Below are 25652 nucleotides of genomic sequence, written 5' to 3'. Positions count from 1 at the left end.
GAGTAGCTTTAATCCAGGAAAGCTGAAAGAGATGGAACCTGCAGATTGTTAATGGTTCCTTGAGCACTGCATAGAGAGGAATTTTAGACTAATCTGCATTCAGCAGGCATGAACACTGTGGTGGAAAAGAAATAGACACAAAGTGCTGTGAAGGAATGATTTTTGCTGTCATGATTCCCATGCATTTTGCACCCAGAAACCTCAGTTTTTGTTAAACAGATCAATTTTAGTGTGTCTATGTAAACATCTCAAAGCCAAACTTACTTTTCTTCAATTACTTAAATTGTAATCATTTCATGTAAAGACATATACATCTATGACTTTATAAGAAATGCATAAATATACTTCTACTTATATAATTTTACATGTTGTTTTTAATTTTTAAATGATTTCCTTATTTCTTATTTCCCATCCGCATGTTCCTTCCACCCTCGACCCTTCAGGAACATTAGAACTCAATACCTCAACACCTACCTAACAATATAGTAATATATCTTTTGGGACTTGATTAGTATGTTCTGATAACCCTGTAGAGACATACACATTTCTAAATAAGTATACAAGCATAAGTATATATGAGAAAAATTTGTATTATGGTTTATTTCCAAAAATTACATATTATGCATAATTTGAGGCATCTTTTTTCTCATATAACACCATACAATGAAAATCCCTACATATTATATAACAGAGCACTTAGGTATATTTTCAAATGTCTACTAAATTCTACCTACTTTCTATGTACCATAGACTTTAGCCGTTTTTATATTAAAACGTCTGTACTTTCTTTCCATTCTTGCCAGTTATAAGACTTTTGCACATTAGAAATTATATATTTCAGTACCATCTGCCAAAACTCAATATTTTATTACTTTTAAATATTATGTTTAGTAATGGAAGTTTTTTAGAGTTCATATACATTTAAGGAAAACATTGCAGTTATTTTACATCAATATATTGCATAGTGGTGAAGTCTGAGCTTTTAGTGTAACCACCATCTGAATAATGTGTGTTGTGCATTAAATAATTGTATCCATTAAGTCATTTCCCATCCCTAACCCTTCCAAGTCTCCAGTGTCTATGATTCCACATTCTGTGTACATGTGTATAGATTATTTAGCTTCCACTTATGAGTGAGAACATGTAGCATTTAACTTTCTGCTTCTGGATTGTTACCTGTTCATGCAAATGTTGTTTAGAGTTCTGGAGTTTAAAATCTTAATTAGGTAAGTGTCTGCTTATAGAATTTAAATGTACTTTCGTTGACTTTTTTCAAAAGATATATATCAATGTTTTTTAAAGTTTAATTCTGTGTTTTATTTTTGAAACTCTGTGAGATGGCCGGCATGGTGGCTCACACCTGTAACCCCAGCACTTTGGGAGGCAGAGGTGGGTGGATCGCCGGAGGTCAGGAATTCAAGACAAGCCTGGCCAACATGGTGAACCTTCATCTCTAGTAAAAATACAAAAATTATCCGGCTGTGGTGGCACACGCCTGTAATCCCAGCTACTCAAGAGGCTGAGGATAGAGAATGGCTGAGGCTGGAGAATCGCTTGAACCCGGAGGTGAAGGTTGCATTGAGTCAAGATCGCGCTGCTTACTGCACTACTTACTGCAGCCTGGGTGACAGAGCAAGACTTTGTCTCAAAAAAATAAAATAAAATAAAATACTCTGAGATTAGTATCTTGAAAAAAAAAAAAAATCTTCGGCCAGGTGCGGTGGCTCACGCCTGTAATCCCAGCACTTTGGTAGGCCAAGGCGGGTGGATCACCTGAGGTCGGGAGTTCAAGACCAGCCTGACCAACATGGAAAAACCCCGTCTCTACTAAAAATACAAAATTAGCTGGGCGTGGTCGTGCATGCCTGTAATTCCAGCTACTCAAGAGGCTGAGGCAGGAGAAATGCTTGAACCAGGGAGGCGGAGGTTGCTGTGGGCCGAGATCATGCCATTGCATTCCAGCCTGGGAAACAAGAGTGAAACTCTATCTCAAAGAAAAACAAACAAACAAACAAAAAACAAACAAACAAAAAAACTCAGATAGTTATGCCAGAACCATTAAATAAATATATTTTATGTGGATTTGTCATATTTAAGATATTTTCTCTTATATAAGGAAATCTACTGGATTACTAATCTTTTGTCTACATCTACTAGTATTACACTGATGTAATTACAGTGAGTCTATAACGTGTGACTCTGATGAAATAAATATTCTCTCATATTTGAAATACTTTAGTATTCTTTTCTTAACTACTCTCAGAAATTTTTCTTTTTCTTTTTTCAGAGTCTTGCTCGGTCACCCAGGCTGGAGTGCAGTGGTGGGATCTTGGCTCACTGCAACCTCTGCCTCCTGGGTTCAAGCAATTCTCCTGCCTCAGTCTCCCGAGTAGCTGGGACTACAGGCGCCCGCCACCATGCCCGGCTGAGTTTTTGTATTTTCAGTAGAGACGGGGTTTCACCGTGTTAGGATTGTCTGGATCTCCTGACCTCATGATCCACCTGCCTTGGCCTCCCCAAGTGCTGGGATTAGAGGCATGAGCCACTGTGCCCAGCCCAGAAATTTGTTCTTTTAGATGAAATTTGAGATTACTTTATAAAATCCAAAAAATAAAATAACTAATAATCTTGAGGGATTAAAATTATATTTTTGAATAATAGATATGTTTCCTGAAACTCATATTTTATAATATTGTCTTTCCAACCAAAGACAAAACATTTAGGAGAGTGATCAAATAGTCACACACATTGGACAATATTGAATCCAGTATACATTTGGTATCATAACCAGGAAAGTTTTCACATAAAAAGTACATAAAAATAAAGCACATACATGAACACAAATGCAAATAATCTAAAGGTGTAGCCAATAAATCTAAAAGAAATATTTGAATCCAGCATAAATATGTTATTACTTTTTTTCTGGTTTTGATATTATATTTGTACTGGATTCAGGTATTGTAAAGTCCTCTGTACATCTATTTGATCACTTTCTTAAATGCATTGTACAATTATTTTTAGCCTAACTTTTGATTATTATTATGTTTAGGTCAGTTTAGTCCAAGACATACAGTGAAGATAATATACAGTGACATCTCCAACTGTATATTAAAAATTTATTTCATAAAGATATCCGTAAATATTTAATTGATTTGCTGTAGGTGTCTATTTTACATACCGTTTTGTGATTATGGTTTATTATAATTAAATTTTCATTATACATACATTTTGTCTTTTTCATCACACATGTATCTCTTTTATTATTGCTATCGATTTAAATTTCCATATGTTTGACATTAATATTAATATTGCCTTTTTTGTTTTTATTTTCCTAGTATGTTTTATCCTATGTCCCTCAAATTTAATATATAAAATTGATATTTTAGTATGCCTTTTAGAAAGCATATAATACTGTGTTTAATCTTTGGAGTAGACAAATGAAGCTGAGTTAATAAACAACTCTAGACTCTCAGCAGCTTTGAACAGTAAAGGTTAATTTTTCACTCATATTTTATGTCTAGTTCTTTTTGGGGCTGGGATATGTACCCTCTTAACCTCATGGAAAGAAGTGGAAGTGATTACAGCAATTGTGTTTGACGGTGATATTAATTTAAAATATTCTGCGTTTTCTCTCCTCTGTATATGTGAGTTAAATTTGTATGCTATAATCTTTATAATGAGAAAACACTATTGATACAAAACCTAGCATATACATGAATGATTTAAGCATTATTGATAAAGCTTTTGTAAGTAAAACCTTTTGTTTTCATATTTGCCGTGAAGCACTACAAGCTATAGATCCCTGTAAGAAAGTGAACTATATATTTTCATATCTGTGCATTTATATGTTGGCCATATCTATATTGAGATAAGCTCCAGCTAAGGCAAATATCAGAGCCAATTTAAACTTGTTTGGATAAAGACCCTATATGATTTTCAAATTTGGGATTATAGTTGATAATAGTGTTTGTGAGAACTCTGAATGTAAATACTATTATAAATTATGTATAATGGAAACACAGTGGCTTCTGATATAGATCTGTATTTCTCACTTAAAAGACACTGAATAGTTTTTACCTAGAGGCCAGAATAATAATACCTTTTATGGACAAGTCTAGAGCTTCCTCTATTTTGGGAACTACTTATTTTGTACCTCTTTGCCTGATCCTTTTACTTAATTACTTGAAGTCATTGATATTTTCTTATGAACTCATGCAGAATTTTCATGTTCAATGTTTTCATACATTGACTCCTAAATAAAAATTTGCTCCTCTCCAGCATACACCCTGAAATTCTTGCTTCCCATGTTACTGGTTAATGACCACAGCCACATGAGACAGGAGCCTTCTGGCTCTCTCTGGCCTGACTGTTCTGTGTCTGTGTTCTGTATGGTGAATAATGAGAAAAGTATTAAACAACTCAATAGGTGGGAAGTCACCTCTTGCCTACAGTCATATTTGAAAAAAGGATATCCTATTGTATAGTATTATTAAACATCCTCCAAACAGACATACTCCTGAGGCATTTCTGTTTAAGATTTCATGTTCTGTATATGATAGAAATTTGCTGAAAACAATAGTCAAGTAAAATATTTCCATGAACATTTTTTCCATTTACATATATAAATTAAAAAGAAATCGTAATTTGTTTATTCTATTTACAACAATCAATTTCAACTATTTTGATACTTTTCTAAGCATGTAGAAATAATTTAATACCCAATATTCAATATCATTTTATCAATAATTCAAATAATGATATAAATTTGCTTTTCCTCCAGCAATTACAAAAGAAGCAAATTTGTTTCACTGAATTTAATACATTTTTGTTGAATAGTAATCGTCTGAAACATTAGAGTATACATAAAAGCTTATCTTTATAGACCCTGTCACACATTATTTTAAAAAACAGGACTTTGTAATATACAAAATAATATTTTATAGAATGTTATTGAAAGCATTTTTCTAATTTTATTATATCATTTGTCAAAAATAACATGTTAAAAATGCCAGAAATTCAGCTACATTTTTTTTTTTTTTGAGACGGAGTTTTGCTCTTGTCACCCAAGCTGGAGTGCGATGACACAATCTCGGCTCACTGCAACCTCTTCCTCCCAGGTTCAAGCAATTCTCCTGTCTCAGCCTCCCAAGTAGCTGGGGTTGCAGGCATGCACCACCATGCCTGGCTAATTTTTGTATTTTTAGTGGAGACAGCATTTCACCATGTTGGCCAGGCTGGTCTTGAACTCTTGACCTCAGGTGATCCACCCACCTGGGCCTCCCAAAGTACTGGGATTACAGGAGTGAGCCACCGTGCCTGGCCCAAGTATTTCATGTTTGGAAAATTGGAGACCCCGTTTCTACTCCTCTATTTCTGCTACATGTTACAAGAGGAATGGAACTTGCACAATCTTCTATCCACAGACTTCCATAACATTTGGTTTGCTCTGAGCTACAAACAGAACTACTCTCAGGGCACTGAATGTAAGGAAGAGAAGGAAATAGCACTCTCCCTGTGGATTTTTTTTTTTTTTGGCAGTATCTCTCCAGCAGCAGCATATAACAACTGCTTCGAAGAGATTGTTGCCAGTTCTAACACTGCAAGCTCAGAATCTCTTCTCAGTGACAAGCCTCAGTGTGGCCCTGCTGGTCTTAACCTCATACATGTTATGTTTCTTCTGTGGTGGCAGTATAGTCACAGGAAATCCATTCTTAGGAGCTCCAGTCATGATCATGTGGTTCTTTTCACCTTGGTATTCATAGCAACTCAACGTGGTATTCCTCTAGAAGGGCAGGAAAAAGTGAGCTGCTGGGATTTGGTAATAACATTTTTCTTCCCCTAGAACCAAGGAGATTCAATGTTTCCTGCGATTACTAATCTTTGGGTTACTCAATTTTTCTTTTTCCCACTCCAGTTATCTCAATACTTTTTTACTGCTTCCCTGTGCTAAATGTCCTCTTTCTAAAATATCTACGATCATTTCTATTCATCGACTGGATGTTTATTACATGATACAATAGGTAATGCAATGAAAGGACTCAAATATAATAGGAGATTTCTTCTGAAATGCGTTGGACAAAATAAAACCATGATCATAGAAAGGTGAGTTTGGTCAGTTGCTATGCCTTTGATTTTTATATGTCCGTTGATAATCTATTCATATTGCATAGATTTGTTTAAAACACCTATCTTGAGGAGCCCAGATATTTTCAAGAAGACAAAAATTATATAGGAGATTTCAAATTTGATTTTGTTTCATTAGCAAAAAGTTATCTAGTGAATAATTATGAACGGAGATCTAAATTCATGCTTAATATTAAAAATTTATCAAATTGTATGTGTATAAAAGTATAGTTACATCAATGTTGCGCTTTAAATACTTTAAAATTTTATTTTAATAACAAAAATAGCACATACTATCTTTAAGTTTAATATAAAAAAAATTGAAAGGGAAAAAAATTCCGAAATGGAGCCACCTCTTGTGTTAAGCTTGTATTTCAGCAAGGACTGCTAAGCACTTTAAGGCAAACTGGTTGTTTATTAAAGCTTAAAATGTCAGACTTAAGAAGTAAATAAAACATGAGAGTTCCAAAATAAGTTTAGATCACTGATCTATTGAACAAAGAGACAAAATAGTTAGTTGTACAAATATTCACCCTCTTTTTACCGTAGGCCTAATTTGAGTAAAAGATGCTATGTTGTTTAGGTTTACTTGTGTAGAATGTTAAATCAATGAGCTCATTCAGACTATTACTTGCTACTTCAACTCAGTATTTCATGATGGCAAGAGCAGTTCAGAGTGTTGGGGTTTCATTGAAGAGTCTCATTATAAGAACTGTTTTTGTTTATAATGGAGGTTTTTGATGTTACTTTCCTTATTAGCTGACAGTAAAAAAGCATGGTAGATTTAAACATATGAATTACTGTAAACCATGTCAAATTACTTCAAAGGCCATCATATTCTATAAACACAGACCTAAGTTGTTTATTATATCTTAATAAATACTTAGGAAATCCTTTAAATTCTATATATAGTTACTGTTCCAAACATTCAGAATCACTCTGTTCAAGAGTATAATGGTAAAAATTAGATTGGTTATTTTTATCTTCTGTGGGAATAATTTTGTGAGAGGTTTGGGTCAATTGTTTTGTGATCTAAATAAAGGGTTTTAATCCTTGTATAAAACACTAAGTTTTTCTCTCTCCACTTGACCCTAACTTCATCACTAGTAGTATGAAAAAATAAATAGAAATAAATAAATATCAGAAATGTGTAGTATTATAAATTTAGTATCAACTCCAATTTCATATTTTACTCTGCTCCAAGAACCTATCAATTTATCCATCCATCTCTCCATGAACAAGGAAGAGAGATACTTCAAAATGAAGACACTTCAAGTTTTCTGAAATTATTTATGAGTAATCAAATATTTTTATTATACCAGAGGCTGCTTAAAAAAACAAAAATATCATTTTTTTACTTCTGAATATATTATGGAAATATAACATTACTGCTTTATCAGCAATGTCTTATTTTTGCACACATTGAAACTTTAAAGGCTGAAACTGCTATCTGATTCTTAATGAACTAAGTATCTCTGAGACTTGTTTAAATAAGAATAATTTGAAATAATAAAATACAATCTGAATAATACATTGACATTTAACCATCAAAGTAGGACATTTCTATTACATGGATGATTTTTTGAAAAATTCAACTCATACATTTTGTGGCACACTATTCTTTTCTGCCATGATAATTTCCTTTCCAGATCCTGTAGAAACATTTTTAATTCATAGTATGTTTGGATGTTATGATGCCTGATTGGGTCTTATGAATTAGTACTATAAACGTTACCTATTGTTTAAAGAAAATTAGTTTAAACATAAAACTTACACAATATTATCTTTATTACTGAAATGTTTTTATTACTTATTATATTATACCTTGTATTATAACTATATATAATATAATCTTAAATATAACATGATATATATTATATGTAAATATATATAAAATATAGAATATATGTATGAGCTATAGAGCAAAATTCCATAGGCACCAAGAAATTTTTAGTCATAAACATTGATATAAAATAGAACATTAGGAACATTTAATGATATTCTTAAACAAATCTTCAATCAGGAACATTTTTATCTCTGTTATACTATATTATCCCAAGTATCATCACCTCTTTACTGCTTTCATTCTTGACATCTCACTTTTACTGATAGTCCATTCTCAGCATGATAGGCCAAGAAAACTGTCGATCATATCGATCACTGTTTAGAGCTCACATATGACATATCTTCTGTATGAGGTCTAAGTTGTGTCCCAATTCCTTTATATACTATGCTTTAATCTCAATTAAATATTGTTCAACTTCAGAACATGTTTGATTTCAGAAAATCTAATCTACTGTAGGTTGTATAAATTTAAGGGAAATTATTTCAGAACTTAAGATAACTTATAAAATCATTTGGGATGCTCAAGAAAACAAATTTCTGGGAATGAGTCCCAAATCACACCATAAGTCTCAGATGCAAAAGGCATTTTTCTCATGGCACCACCAGGAAACTTAAGACAGAAAGATAAAAATTAGCTAAAGGAAAATGAGCATCTAGAATGTTCAGGACAATATCAAACAATGTAACATATGTGTAATTGGAGTCCAAAGAAGAGATGAGAAATGTTGTGTGTTAAAAACATTTTTATAAAAGTGAAAGCTAAAAATTTTCTAAATTTAACTAAATTTAAATTTTGAACTATTGAAACAAGTAGCTCACCAAAATCCAAGCAGGGTAAATAGACACATAGTGCTCAAATTATTGAAAATCTCAGATGAGAAAAAAAAAAAACTGAAAGAATTCAAAGTTTAGGGAAGGGACAAGAGGTACATTATGTATAAGAAATGAAGATAATAATTATCATTTCTCATCAAAAATAATGGCTAAAATTAATGAGTAGATATCCACAAGGAACTAAAAAACAAGAAATAATTTCTGTCAATTTAGAATTAAATATCCATCAATATAACTCTCAAAAACAACAGTAAATTTGAAAGACGTTATGACAAATAAAGGCTTGGAGAGTTTGACACTAATAAGCTTGTGCTACAAGGATGAAGGAAAATGGTACCAGATTGAAATTTGGATCTACACATAGGAATAAAGATCAAAACAAGTGTAAGAAAGAGGAAATATAAAAGTTTGTATTTTTAAATTTCATAGTATATTTAAAAGTACCTGTGCAAACAGAAATAACAGTACTGTAAGATAAGGTTGTAACATTTGAGGAGGGAAGGACACGGCAACAATCACAAAGGATGAGAAAGGTAGACAAAATTACACTGCTGTACATTTATTACAGTTGTGAAGTGAAAGCATGCATCATGAATTGTGTAGTGTGAAATGTCTAATGTGAAGGGGAAAGAACAAAGCAGCAAGTCCAAAGTTTAGGTAGAAATCTTGAAATGTGAAGAAGGATAATGTCCGCCCTGATTAGACAGATGAGTTAAGGATTCGTATTGTTAGCATTAGGGCAACAACTAAAAATAAAAAAATAGGTATAGCTACAAGAGTAATGGACAGAAAATTAAACAACAACCAAAAAGCATTCAGCATAGAAGAAGCAAAGAAACAATAGCAACAATTAAAAAGTAAAAACCAAAGGGATTGCCAATGTAATGATAATAAAGTTGTTATTTGTTATTCATATGGAATAAACAATCAAAATATGTATGGGTATAAATACAGAACATCAAAATATCAAAATATCAAAATTCAGGTAAGAATAAGTGACAGAAATAGAAAAATCCAAAATCACAGAGGAGATTTTGTCATCAGTTTCTCAGGAATTGATAGAATAAATAAACAACAAATCAATAAATAGAAGAACCAACAACACAATCAACCAACTTGACCCAATTGACATTTTCAGAGCATTACACTCTACAGAATCCCTGTTCTTTTCAACTGGATTTTACGAGAAATTCTTCTGAAACAAGGAAATCTCATGTATAATGATAAAAATTATTGCCTGGCTAGGAGAAGTTAACTGCAAAAGGACACATACATTTTCTGGGAATATGTAAATATTCCATGCATTAACTTTATGATATGTATATTATAACTGAATAAAATTGAAAAAAGAAGCTGCTACAGGATAAATCAGGAAGTCACACCTTCAGCAGTTGTCTCAAAACCAGACAGTATGAAGTGTAATCTCTATACACAATATGGATGTTTTATTTAGTGTTTCTCCACCCCCTAAATTAATTTTTGCTAAATTTATGGTATAGATGAGTTTAACTCACAAAGATAAGTAAAATCAACAGAATCCTAGGTTCAACTTTACTTAAGATCTCAGTTTTTACCCTCTTAGTTACTGTAGCAAAAAAATGTATTAGAAGAAGTTGAGCACAACTATACAATACCCTTCATAATTGGATGCCTATTCATTGTTCAAATGTTCAGATCCGTCAGATACATCTCACAGACTCTTAATCTAACACTCATGTGCTATTTGGATTTCGGCTTAAATGTCGCTTCCACAGAGAATTGTGATAGCCAATAATATTAATCATGTTTCCCCTGGTGTAGACCTTTACACCTTTACAGAACTCTACTACTCCTTTAAAACAATCATTTCAATCCCAATTTAAAAATAAACATCAGCCTCCCTCACCAATCTATTAACTATATGAAAGTAGTTTTCCCTGTTAATCAATGAAACCATGCTTTACTGCATTTCTTGAAGGGCTCTGCGTAGATTTGTTGAGTGAGTAATTATTGACTACTTATCATGGAAGAATACAAAAATAACATAGTGAGTAAAACATAATTGCATAGTAGTCAACATAAATCAGAAGGTAATGTTTTCTGACTAAGTGTAGATTATAAGTCTCTCTAATTTCAGTAATTAGTCTTTAATAGACTCATACAAAGGGTGTGTTGAGTGGTACAGTTATAAGACTGTAATATAAATAATAAACTATGATCTAATAAAAGGAATGTACACTCTGGATGATTCAATGTAGAGCTGAGAATCATATGGAGTCTACGAAAGATAAAAAATGCGAAACTATAGCAGCAGAAAACAGGTATACTTAAGGGTTGGCTGTGTGTTCGATTACAAAAAGGCAAAAGGGGACATTTTAGCCTACTGGGCATTTTCTATAAGTTGATTTTGCTGGTAATTATATGACTGTATGCATTTGTCAAAACTCATAGAACTGTACGTTAAAGAGGGAAACGTTTACTTTGTGTAAATATCTTAATAAATCTGACTTGGAAAAATAAAACAAAACAAATAAACAAAAATTGGCTTGTTCCCTGTAATTGCAACAGGGTTTGAAATGTGATAATTTTAATTATTAAATTAAATGTTTTAATCCATTATTAACCCATTTTATAAAATATTTTTAACCTCTATAATATAACAAAATATTTTTTGTTATTTAGATCTTAAATTTACTATGAACAGAGGATGTAATTTTGCATTTTTATGCATGCTTCATGGTCAGTCTGTGTTAATGTTCCATTTTTATTATAAAGAGATTAACTTTCTTATTTTTCATATCTATAGACCTTATGTCTATAAAGCCACACTTGTTAATTATGTTATTAAAATTTGCACTACTTTCTTACTTGTTTTAACTGTTAGGCAAATCAATTACTGAGAAGTTTATTGAAGTGAGGAACTAGGATGTGAGAATTTTTCAGCTTCTTTGCAATTCAGCCAAATGCACTTTTATGTGTTTAGAAGATAACTGATCATATGTAGAAACTTTGAACTGTCTATATTTTAAGTGTATGTTTTAAAATAAATAAATGCTGATACTGTGATAGTCTGAAGAATGCTTCCCTTCCCCTAAAAATATACATGTCCTAACTCTAGAAATTGTGAATGTTTCTGAATCTGGAAAAAAAAAAAAAGGGCAAAGGAAGATCTTTGGTAGATGAGAAAAAGTTAAGAATATTGATAAGAGGCTGACCTTGAAGACTGGAGTGATGTAGCCACAAGCCAAGGAATACTGACAGCCACCAGAGGCTGGAAGAGGCAAGAAACTGATTGCTTCTGAGAGCCTCCAAAGGCAATGGGATCTTGCTGGCACCTTGATTTCAGCCAAGTCAAATTCATTTCAAACTTCTGGCTTCCAGAGCTGTGAGTGAATAAATTTCTGTTGTTTTTAAGCCATGAAATTTCTGATAACTTACTAGAGCAGCTACAGGAAACTAATGTAAACAGATAAGTCTCTTACTTCTGTGTTTTTCCCCCCAGCCATATTCGTCTTTTTTTAGCTGATACTAACTGTACTTCAGTTCCTAAAAGCCTATACATTGAAGTTATTTTTCCAAACTTTGAATTTCAGTTTATCTGTGTTCCTATGATTTTTTTTTTTTGTCTTTTGAAGGGCTTTGTAATTTGGTTTTAATCTAATGGCATCCTTTATCATTTAGCTATCTTGATTATTCTGCTAACATTGAACATGGGTATAAATATTATTTGGGCTGATTCTATTGTCTTTATTTTGTGCTATTAGTACTGCATTTTTTAAAAATTTTATTTTGTCTTTGTTTCCCTTGACTTCACATGAATTAAGTAACGTTTTTCTTTTCTCTCTATTTCTTATTTACTTTGCAGGATGTTAAACACTCAGTGATCATGATGAGAATTTAAAAATAAATTATCGAACCCGAAATTTAACATTTACTAACTTTATGTACAATAAGGATCTTAAAGTATTTTATTTTCAGTAATATCGTTTTGATTTAGATGCTTTTTAAATAGATATTATTTTTACTATTAATAATTCAAATTTAAAAATATATATTTATTTTATGTAATCAATTTAATGAAGTTTCATCCTTTCCTTGGTCTTTTTTTCCTAGATGTCAAATCTTACATATTGTATCTTTTTGGATGTCAGATATTCTTTCAGAAGTACATCTTTCAGCATTTCCTTTAATAAGGATACACTGGTATTACTTTCTTTCATATTTATTTGAACAGAAAACAAATGTTCCTTACTCATTAAATGATAAAAAGAAATAAATGCACAAATTTATTTTCTCTCAAGACTCAGTTGACATTATTTTATTATTCTATTTTTCATCATTGTTGGTGACATTTAGTTTAAATGAAATTTTTTTGAAAATAAAAGCTTCTGAGTCCATTCTATGATTTTCTCCTTATCTATGATGTCTTTTGTTCCTGCAAAGAGGTTACTGTGCTTCTTTACTCTTTCCAGTATTCAGAAATTATTTTCTCCTCTAACCACACCAATTCTAGCTTTGTTTGATCTCTATTAGAATTTTGGATCCAGGCTCATATTTCCTTTTGTCTTCTCTATTTCAATAGCTTTATTAAATATTTATATCATTACGTTTCAGTTACACTTTCATCATTCCACTTAGATATTTTAATATTGTGTTCGCCTTATTTTGTTACCTTTTACTATAATCATGGGTTCTTTTTGCTAATTCACTCGACACTTTGGTAAAAGGACTCTAAGTATTTTCCATATGAGCTTAATGATTACTACCAATTGTGATCTTTACAAGTCTGAATACAATTTACACTACCAGATGAATAGTAGTTTGTGTGGGATTCTTGTATTAGTCAATTGTGCTCTGGTTAAATGCATCATACAGAATCTTCCAGCACCTTTTTATGGTTATTATTTGAGAGAGGAAGTTGTAAGAGGGAGGGAATTGCAGACCTGTGTTTAGCCTGTTATCTTCACAGATTATCTTTATTTGTCCCTCAGAAGAGGAACATATTCTTTACTTTTATTACTTTTTGAGGTTCTGTGGAGTTTCATATTATTTATAAGATACATGGTGAGTTTTGGATAGTAATTAGTTCAATTTTGTTAATAACAGTTTATAATTTAGGATTTTTAAATAAGTGTGGGAAGCACAGTGAACAAACATATAAAATATCCAAAAGATGTACCCTTTAGCATTCCTGATGTAATGCAAATTCAAATTCCAAAGTTTAGTGCAGTGTTATGGATGCTCTTCATTTTAATAAGTTAATAGGAACATTTGCATATGCACTGTTGGCACTCTGGAGTTTTTTTCTTGCCTAATTTAGCAACATAAGTGGCAAAATAGCATAATAGAAACTTTTCAAAGAATTTTCAAAAGTGTGTATAGAATGCTTTCTTAAAGAATAAGCCACAAGCAGAAATCTCTTGTGGTGGTAGCTTTCCCCTAGTTGACTGTGAAAGCCAAATCAGCTGGTAACGCATGCAGGAAAACAGGACACTGTTTTGCCACTTAGGTAAGTTTCTAATAGAGATTTGGGTCCTATGTATGAGCAGAGATCACATAAATTTAACTTCAGCTAACATTTATTAGGTGATCATTTTGTCCATATTATTATTTAAATGTGTAATGTAAACATATGCATTTTATCACATAAGTTATATTGATATATAAAACAAATCAATCTATGCAGCCTTAGAGATTGTTCATTTTTAAAATGATACACAATTATCCATATCCAAATATACAAATAAATTTTAGTACATAGCTTCTAAAATGGCCCCCAATAGTCTCTGCCTCCTAAAATTTACATCCTTATGTAATCTCTATGTCTTGAATGTGAGTTGGACCTAATACCTTCCTTCTAATGTCTCTGGCAAAAAAATGATTGATTTGAGATTAGATTACAAAAAACTGTGACTTTCATTTTGTGTCTCTCTCTCTCTCTGTTCTTGTTTTGAGAGAAGCAAGCAGCATTGTTGGGAATAGGCCCACATGGCAAGAAAGCAGGAAGGTAACAGGTAACAGTCCAATGATCGCATTTCGAAGTGGTGCTTTCATACGTCAAGTCTGAAGATGACTCCTGCCCTGGTTAACATCTCCATTACAACCTTGTGAAAGATCTTGAGTTAAAGGTACCTAACTAAATGGTGCTATTTACTGATCCACAGAATCTTCAAGATAACAAATGTGTGTTGTTTTAATTCACAATATTTTGGGGTAATTTGTTATGAAACTATAATGATTAATAATTACCTGATAATATACGCATTAAAATATAACTTACCGTGCTTTTTGTTATCAATATTAATTTTTAGCCATTTCTATATTTGAAAAATTTATATTTTTTCATAAATCTTGAAAAAGTATTATTTTATTAGTTTACAACTATTTGTAATAACATATCATGACAAAATATATTCCAGCTTGGTTTTTGCAAACAATGTCAAAAGGGTTTGCTTACAGGGAAGATTAAAATATTATCTTCCACTTCCATTCATTTTAATCAACCCTTGGTCAAAATTAAATATAGTTTGGCTATGGATTTGCTTATCTTTATTTTAGAAATGATATGGGGATTTGGAGGATTATGCATTTTGTTCATAGATCCAAATTGCTTCATATATTATTGGTTAATTTCTCTTCCTACAAAATATTTATCTTAATTTGTTTTCTCAACAAGTCTGCTTTGCTGTCATTAAGAGGCATTATACATTTGATTTATAATTGTACTATTAGCATATGAAATCAAAGGATAAGAACAATTCTATAAACTACACATTGATATTCTATTGTTCAAGAAACGAATTCAAAACAAAAGTAGTTCAGTTCGATACTTCATGTTTATACAAAAATAGTATTGAATGCATCACACATGATATAATCTAGTAGAGTCTAATTAATTTAAATGAGAAACAAAGCAAAAACTCAGTCCTGATATTAGAAGTAAACATAAAAACAATCCAGTCGTTTTATAGTCTAATTTGTTCTAGAAAGTAGTTGCAGAAAATTTTAATCATTAGAAGATACAAATAACATAAGCATTGACTGATAGGGTAGAGAACATATCCAAATTAAAATGAGTTATAATATGTTAGGGATATGAGCATGTGGGAGGACTGAAAATTTATTATAACTGATTATAATTCAACATCAATTAGAACATTATTTTTGGTGTGATGGTCAATCTTTGCAATTTAGGCTTATAATGAAGGTGTGTAGGTCTGAATATGTCTTTGTCCATCTTCATCAGAAAAAGCTGTTTCTACATCAAATGCATAGAACAATTGAACCAGATTGTTTAACAATTACTTTGGGAAAGTTTTTGACTTCAGTAGGGGAGAATGGTCCTAGAGGTGGTAAGACCTTGATACCTGAGACTGGGAAGAATGAGAGGATTTCTATGCTTTCTGTAACTGGCGACTCCACTGATTTCCTAATACATAGTAATGGGGGTAAAAAGGTCAGAGAACACTGGCCACATAGAGGATTTAGATTAAACAATGTGTAAAGCATTTCTTTAGATATGCACTGTATTTTATATGAATATTGTACATGTAATGTGTAGCACTGTTAAAAATGAAAAATAGCGGATAGAAAATATTAGATTGATTGCACAAACATGTTCAGAATTAGTTGTTAATGATATTTATTATTTATCAAGTAATTATGTAGCACAATAAAATTACTTTAAAAATCAAGAAGCATAAAAGTTATATACTCACATTTAAAGAAAAAAAAGTGTACCTTTATTTGAAAAATAGGGACAGAGAGTATTTATTTCAAATTATACAGTGCATAGCTTATCCATAGCTTTTTGCTTTAAACTAGTCAGAAGCAATCACATTTTAGTTAGGTCAGTTCAACATGCATTACAAACAGTATTTTTTATTGAATTCAGTTGATAAAAGTTTTATTGGATTTTCTCTATGCTTATTTATCCTATTTTCATATTCTTTAAAGTTGAAATTTTCACTGTCCTTCAGAAGACTTTGGGTATGTCAACAGCATATTTTTATTGTGTTTCTTTATTAATTTCCATGGATATCTGCATGAAAGGCATGAGTAAGTGAAATGAATGAACTAAATAATACAACTATCATGGTAAAACTGGGCTCACAGTTCAAAGAAATATCCTCCAAGTAAAGACAAAAGACAGCATAAAAAATGACAACAAACATAACCAAAAATGTTACCAGGGTTAATACTCATAACTTCATCTAAATAAATATATTCTTCCTTCAGTCTTGGCTTCTACCAAGAGTAAAGTGTCTTAAATGTTATGTTTAATTGTAGACAGAAATAAGAGTACAGAAAGGTGTTTTTGATAAGAAAGAAACATCAACATGACAGGTCTTGTGTTTCCTGGGCCTCCACCAAGCAGCTGAAAGCCATATAGAGTTTGCACCTCCCAAGTTCCCACATAACAACAGCGAGCCACTCAGACACAGTGACTTACGGTCCTCAACTTAAACACAAAACAAGATCACTCTAGGCATTTTCTAAACCTCCACCCAATGGCAGAAGTCATCTGGGATAACTGCCTCTAGGCCTTCCAAGCAGTGGCAGAAGCTGAATCAAACCTGGGGTCTTTTGACTCCCTACCAAGCTGTAGAAAGCCCCCGCCCATACCCCATGACATTAATATTCCTCAAATTTGTACATATATTTTTTAAAAAATCTATATGAAAATGTCAATAAGGGTTTTTTGTAGACATAGAAAAGATTATTTTAAAATTTATATTGGAAGATATGAACAATGCAATACTGAATGTAATCTTGTAAAATAAATATATAGTGGAAAGAATCACTCCACTCAATAATAAGTCATAATATCTAGCTAAAATAATTAAGTTAATATGGTGTTAATGTAGGGATAGACACATAGATTAAAAAACAGAATAGATAACCCCCAAAACAAAATCAAACAAACAGGTACAACTAATTTTTGAATAAATGTGCCAAAGCAGTTCAATGTAGGTATGATAACCTTTTTGACAATTGGTTCTGGAGCAACCAATTCCAAACATATTTGTGTAATCAATCTAATACTTTCTTATATCTGCTATTTTTCATTTTTAGCAATGCTACACATTACATGTACATTCATAGGCCTGATAGATAGATACATAGATGATAGATAGATAGATAGATAGATAGATAGATAGATAGATAGATAGATAGATAGATGATAGATAGATAGATAGATAGATAGATAAAAATAGAAGAACCATATCTTGAATTAAGTCTCAGATTTTACTTATTAACGCAAAATAGGTTTAAGTTTTTATGGAATATGTCGAAACCGTTAGCACTTTAAAATTTTAGAAAAAATGTAGTATGAAATTTCTATGAGGAAAGCTAACAAAAATTCTCTGATAAAAGAAATCAAAGAACAAAGTAATTACAGAGCTATTCCATGTTCATGGATAGAAAGATTCAATATTATTAAGATATCTGCTGTTCCCAACTTGATCTATAGAATCAGTGCCTTCTAAATCAAAATATGACCAATTTATTTGTTAGCATACTGACAAACTTATTTTAATGTTTATATGGAAATGCAAAAGACCCAGAATAGTCAATACACTATCAAAGTAGAAAAATAAAGCCAGAAGACTGACATTATCCAACTTCAAAGCTTACTATACAGCTGTAGTAAGAAAGGCAATGTGGTGCTGGTGAAAGGAAACACAAATAGATGAAAAAAAAAAACCAAAATAGATTAACAAGAAATAAACTTTTAATACACACAAAAACTTGAATGACTCTCCACAGGTTTAGGCTAATTGAAAAAAACCTATTATCAATAGGTAACATACTGCATAATTTCATTTATGTGACATTTTTATTGTGGTTAAATATACACAACATAAAAATAGCATTTTTAAGCAGTTCTGTAGCACTAAGTACATTACATTATTGTGCTATCATGAGCCCCATTCATCTTCAAAACTTTTTCCTCTTCCCCATCTGAAATTGTGTACTTATTAAGGATGAATTCTTTATTCTTGCTTCCTCCAGCCTGTGGCAACCACTATTCTGTTTTCTGTCTTTATGTATTTGACTCCTCTAGATACCTCATATAAATGGAATCCCAATATTTTTTCTTTTGTGATGAAGTTATTTCTCTTGACATAATGTCCTCAGACTTAATCCATGTTGCTAAATTTGTCATTGATTTAATTCTTTCTTAAGGCTAATATTTTATTGTATATACACATCACATTTTGTCTTTCCATTCATTCATTTTGTAACATTTTCAGATGAAAAAAATAAAATGTAAAAATGATTATTGGTTGGCAAGTGATACGGATGAAAATAAGGGTGGGGAAGAAGTGGGTGCACTTTTATAAAAGAGTAACATCAGATATCCTAGTAGTGATGAAATTATTCTCTGTATTTTCAAGGTGGGGTATATCCAAATGTCCAGTTTTAATAAAATTTGATAAAACTCCATTTGATAAAAATGGAACTAAATATAAACACACATACTTAAATTTGTACATGTAAAACTGCACAAATCTGAATAAGATCAAAGCCAATATTCTAGCTGAGATCTCTGCCATAGTTTTGTAAGATGCTATTATTAAAATAAATTGGATAAAATGTTTGTCTCTTTGTATTTATTCTTACAACTGCATGTGGATCCACTGTTATTTTAAAATGAAATGTTTAATTAAAAATAGGTAAATGTATAGAACTTGAAATGTCTCATATTATTTGGTATCATTGGGAGTATTCTTAATCACAGCATCTGCTAATGAAGCATCATGCTGAATCTGATAAAAATGATTGGCAAAAAACATCCAAATAAGACTTGGGATTAAAAGCTTTCATAGAGAAGAAGCCATTTGCAGCATATAGTAAAAGAAAAATTATTTAAGTAAAAAACGAAAGTGAGAAGATTGAGGCCATTTCAGGCAAAAACAATAACAAGAAGAAAAACATGCAGAGATAAATATGCTTTAACTGAGGGAAGTATAAATAGAATTGTCCATAGCTGATCAAGGAAAATAGAGAGGGATTTAAAAAAAAAAAAAGAGGTAAGTGATACAGAATATTTTGAATTAAATAAAAAAGACAATTAATGTAATTCCTAAAAGCACTGATGGTGTGATTGGATTTGCAGCTTTTAAAAAAGCATGAAACATGGTTTCAAAATGGTTTAGAATGAAAGATGGAAGTTCAGAAAGGAAGCTATTGAAATAAAACATCATAACATTATGCCTAGACAAAAGCAATGGCAGTGGCGAGAGGGAGTCAGCAATGGGAATAATAAAAAATACTGAAGAGAATCTAAGAGGGAGAAGGAGAGAGATTCTTTGAAGTCACAGAAAGAGGAATAAGATCACATATTATAGGTCATTGTATATAATCTTAAAAAGTAGAAATGTATACTCATAGCATCTTGTGTTCTGCAGTACAAAGTGAAGATGTTTGAACAATACAGCAGAGAAAAATGCAAATGTTAAAGATCGGAAGAAAGTAACAAGCCGGCCAGGCGCAGTGGCACTTTGGGAGGCTGAGGTGGATCATGAGGTCAGGAGTTCAAGATTAGCCTGGCCAACATGGTGAAACCCCATCTCTACTAAAAATACAAAAAACTTAGGCAACATTAAAGAATGGGTGACAGGCAAAACTCTGTCTCAAAACAACAAAAAAAGAGTAACAAGCCACAACTTCCAAAGATAAACACTATATTTTTCTATAATTAATGTAGTGCATCAACTCATAATGTAAATATTATTTTTCTCAAATATTTAGCTCTGTTTGATTCTTTAAGAACATTAATCAGGCATCACCAGAAATAGAACTACCTAAATCTATGTGCAATCTATTGACTATGTGATCTCTGGCTTACTACACAGGTAAATAACACCCCTCCGCAATTCGACCTTCCAGGACTACCTCAACTGGACTCATTGACTGGCCTCTGAATTTTAGTATGTTCTTTGTTCCTGTGTTACTCTCATAATTCACCACATTTTACTGAAGATCTCTCCTTCTCCAAGGAACTGACCATTTGTCTCACCCACTTAGCTTCTGAGAGATAAAGAACAATTCAAATTCGTCTTGATATTTTTATAAATTCATGACTCATTCAATAATAATCTTGACCCCAGCAGTTACTTCATTAACAAAAGACTAATTTCAATACCATAATTGTAAGAGGCTTCTAGCATGAAAACATTTATATTTTCTGTATTCTGCCTACAACTTAAGGCATAGAAGGATATGATAAATTAAAGATACGTGAGCTAACATTGTGGTTTCTTTTACAGCAAAATTAATATATTGGAATTTCACCTCTTTTTGAAATTTTTAGAGAGTTTAGATATGCTTTATCTGGAGACTGTTGAAAAAACATATATCCTAAAAGCAACTGCACAATGTATGTATAATATTAGAGACCTTTACTCTATAAATTAGCAACTCCCAAGTATTGTTCCATACCTGTGAATGATTTATATATATGTATTATTTACATAAAAATTAAAAATAGTATGAGTTAATATGTTTATATATACACATATATACATATATACACATATATACATATATACATATATATATATAGTGCTGACATATAGTACTAATTTGATACTGTATCTGAACAAATTCCTACTAGGAAACCTTATCTACTATCCAGCTCAAATTAAAATATATATTCAAATGAATACAAATGCATTTCTTTAATAAAGTTTGTGATTACCTTAATAATTACTTTCCACCTATTTCTGAATTATGATACTTCAGTGGATACTTCCAGAAGTACATTTAAAATACCTTACTTTTCATTATAGAGTGAAAGGAACAAAATGAATGTTTATAGTGAGATTGCAATGTGCTGCGTGGTGGGAGCCATGCTTAGAGAATCGCTAGGAGATAACAGAGCTCTCTCAAACAGTTTAACTGATAGTTTTCTAAATCACAGTAAATTTCAAATGTGAGATTCAACATAGGATAAAGTAATTTTAAAACTCATGCTTTCTGCTTTCCACAGTAGTTCTCACATAGAAGAAATCACAGTATCTATACAAAAAGCAGTGATTCCTGAGGCTCAGGAACTTGGAATTTGAAGCCAGGTGCTTCAAAGTGCTCAGTTCGCCAGCAACTAGTGCAGGGAATCTGTGCAAGTATAATTTGTTCCTTTGACTGTATAATGGACATACAAAACGTAACTAATTCTAAGTGTGCTCTAAAAATTAAATAATGTGATTATGTCGAGATCATAGCATTAGCTATTATAATCATGAAATTAACATATTTTAAGTTAATTCAGCCATTACTGTCATTATGAGTGCTTCAGAATATTCATAAAACTTATCTAACACTGTTTTTGTACATTGTTAGGGAAGAATTTGTAAGCCTCCTAACCTTAAAGAATAATGTGCTAGCTAAAAGTTACATACCAGCATGGCCATGTTATCTCAAATATTTTAAATATTTTGAATGGCATCATGTTAATTGAAACCCATGCAGATTGGAATCTTGTCCTTGATTTTGTATTATTCTGCAATAACTGGACCACTGTGCTCACATGTAATCCTAATCATTAAATTTTGTTGAACTGGACTGAGTCACCAAATTTAGAGCTGGATGAAATTTTAAGTTATCTGGATATATCTCAATTCTTTATTTTCCCCAGAATTACTAGATATATAATAATGAGTTATTTATGAAAAGTCACATAAAAGTTTTCATGTGTTCTTCCAGGTTTCTTTCTACGTGAGTTCCTTAGACCTGAATAAGTTAATTGTCTCATATCTGAACAATTACATCTAAGCAAGAATCGGAGATATAATTTCTGTGTTCTTCAGCTGTCTTAACAAGTGGAATTTAATCAGTTCATACTTATTATGTGTTGTGTTTCCTTTCTAAAGGTAAAGATATTAAAACTTAATAGCATTACAAAGATAGAAATTTATATAAGAGATGGATCAGGCAGCTTTAAGCTATACCTTTTTTTAATTTATTTTTTATTATTATACTTTAAGTTCTAGGGTACATGTGCACAACGTGCAGGTTTGTTACATATGTATACATGTGCCATGTTCGTGTGCTGCACCCATTAACTGGTCATTTACATTAGGTATATCTCCTAATGCTATCCCTCCCCCCACCACCCCACTGCAGACCCCAGTGTGTGATGTTCCCCTTCCTGTGTCCAAGTGTTCTCATTGTTCAATTCCCACCTATGAGTGAGAACATGCGGTGTTTGATTTTTTTGTCCTTGCGATAGTTTGCTGAGAATGATGGTTTCCAGCTTCATCCATGTCCTTACAAAGGACATGAACTCATCATTTTTTATGGATGCATAGTATTCCATGGGGTATATGTGCCACATTTTCTTAATCCAGTCTATCATTGATGGACATTTGGGTTGGTTCGAAGTCTTTGCTATTGTGAATAGTGCTGCAATGAACATACGTGTTCATGTGTCTTTATAGCAGCATGATTTATAATCCTTTGGGTATATACCCAGCAATGGGATGGCTGGGTCAAATGATATTTCTAATTCTAGATCCTTGAGGAATCGCCACCCTGTCTTCCACAATGGTTGAACTAGTTTATAGTCCCACCAACAGTGTAAAAGTGTTCCTATTTCTCCACAACCTCTCCAGCATCTGTTGTTTCCTGACTTTTTAATGATCATCATTCTAACTGGTGTGAGATGGTATGTCATTGTGGTTTTGATTTGCATTTATCTGATGGCCAGTGATGATGAGCATTTTTTCATGTGTCTGTTGGATGCACAAATGTCTTCTTTTCAGAAATGTCTGTTCATATCCTTTGCCCACTTTTTGATGGGGTTGTTTGTTTTTTTCTTGTAAATTTGTTTAAGTTCTTTGTAGATAACTGGATATTAGCCCTTTGTCAGATGAGTAGATTGCAAAAATTATTTCCCATTCTGTAGGTTGCCTGTTCACTCCGAGGGTAGTTTATTTTGCTGTGCAGAAGCTCTTTAGTATAATTCGATCCCATTTGTCAATTTTGGCTTTTGTTGCATACCTATACCTTTAGAAAAATTACCACCAAAAGCTTAATTTAAGTTCTCTTAAAGCATATGTATGTTTACATGACAAACAAAGTCCACTCCACATTTTTTAGATCTAGCTTTCCTGGTAAATCTAAACTATAACATAACACAAAATTTTCTGTTTTCACTGGAGACATTGCCAGGGAGAAGTAGAGGCCACGATGTGGTGAGCAGTGCCTTGAAAGCAGAAAGATCAGAGTGCCAAGCATGCCTCAGTCACTCACCAGCTAAACCATGTGAAATTTACTAGGTTAAAATAATAGTCAAAATTTTTATATTATTCTACATATATATAATATGTGTGTATGTGTATATATATATGCATACATATATAACTTCTGTTAACTCAGTTTTGTAAATTTTAAATTGGGCTTAATATTTCCTTTTTGGTAAAGAGTTAAAGTAAGGCAATATTTCAACAGTATTTGAAATGCATAAATGGCTACATAAATAATAGCTATTTTATTAAGTCAGGTATATCTCTATATTTACTTCATTGTGCTTTACAAACTGCCATTTAATCCTTTTGAATTAATTTAAATGCAAATATTGCATTCAGATCTTAGCAGTTGTATAGTACAAAAAAGGTTACAGCTTTGAAATAATGATAAATATTCTATTAAATTTAATTGTTATTTTCTAGGAAGCATGCAAGAGAGTGTGACAAGAACATCACCAAAGGCAAAGGTCTATTAGCCAACTAGACCAATAAAAATTACCCCCTTGTCAAAATCAGAAGGGCCAGTAATCATTAACAAGCCTAATAAAGAATTACAGTATTCATTAAAAAGTTTATTTTTATTCACTTGTGAACCTTGAGCTAATTCCAGAAGTCACATGAAGGAAATAGAAACACTGCCTGTGCAATCTCCTTGCCTGCTTTATGCATAATGAGAATAGAGTTGACTCTCCTGTCAAGAAATCAATTATTAAGCAGTGCAAACATTATTTTAATTTAAAAGAAACTTGTTTCTGAAACTTTGTACTCTTGTAGTGAAATTGAATCTTTCCTTCTCAGCAGTTTCCATGGTCGTGAATCCACCCCATCTCTTTTCACCAGTAGCAAGATTGCTACTTATATGGAAGGGTTTTAGAGTCCATAACAAAATAACTACATTTTTATCCATACCTTTTTCATTAGATTGGACTATGTATATTCATTTTAAATTTAATTATTTAGTTCAGATTAGCAATGTGGGACAAAAATAAAAATTAGAAACTGAAAACAAGTTTATCTGGTTTTCAAACAAATTAATGAAACTTCAAATATACTGTTTGGCAAGTAAAAACTAATACAATTTTGTAACTATCAGTCCCTGTACAATACTAATTGAAAGGTAAATATTGAGAAATAAGTTTGCAAACTTATTTGTCTTTAAAAATATTTCATGGAAAGAAAAAGTAGGAACAGTAAAGGTCTTTGTCTTTAAAAATGTTTTATGGAAAGAAAAAGTATTTAGGAACAGTAAAGGGTAGCCATAATGGAATCTACAAATACTGTTCTACCATCATATGATAAAGCCAGATTTATTGCTATTGGTGTCAGTTTTAAGAAGGCTAGCCAGGCACAGTGGCTCATGCCTGTAATCCCAGCACTTTGGGAGGCAGAGCTGGGCGGATCACCTGAGGTCAGGAGTTCGAGACCAGCCTGGCCAACATGGTGAAACCTCGTTTCTACTAAAAATACAAAAATTAGCAGCACGTGGTGGTGGACGCCTATAATCCCACCTACTCAGGAGGCTGAGGCAGAAGAATCGCTTGAACCCGGGAGGCAGAGGTTACAGTGAGCCGAGATCACGCCACTGCACTCCAGCCTGGGCAACAAGAGCAAGAC

The 25652-nt window shown here is 32.0% G+C and overlaps 1 long non-coding RNA gene across 2 annotated transcripts, besides 1 other annotated feature; it reads left to right on the top strand.

Annotated features, from left to right (window-relative positions):
• The first annotated feature begins 3568 nt into the window (after positions 1-3568).
• Positions 3569-15066, top strand: LOC105377513 (uncharacterized). 2 transcript variants are annotated; one of them, XR_939406.1, is made up of 4 exons: positions 3569-3644; positions 5915-6102; positions 11900-12166; positions 14742-15066. It is a non-coding gene; the product is annotated as an uncharacterized LOC105377513 (long non-coding RNA). The 2 variants fall into 2 exon arrangements; XR_001741528.1 differs by having other exon boundaries at positions 14737-15066.
• Positions 16803-16972: an enhancer, noted in NCBI's record as "experimental_75113 CRE fragment used in MPRA reporter constructs". NCBI's record gives its function as "activates a minimal promoter by MPRAs in K562 erythroleukemia cells, with activity observed for both the introgressed and non-introgressed 4:161838627 variant alleles {active_cell/tissue: K562}" and the evidence as "EXISTENCE:reporter gene assay evidence [ECO:0000049][PMID:34662402]".

This window comes from Homo sapiens, chromosome 4, assembly GCF_000001405.40.
Source record: "Homo sapiens chromosome 4, GRCh38.p14 Primary Assembly".
NCBI classification, from domain to species: domain Eukaryota; kingdom Metazoa; phylum Chordata; class Mammalia; order Primates; family Hominidae; genus Homo; species Homo sapiens.
Note: the sequence above shows the minus strand (reverse complement) of the source record. Positions and strands in the feature narration are given on the sequence as shown.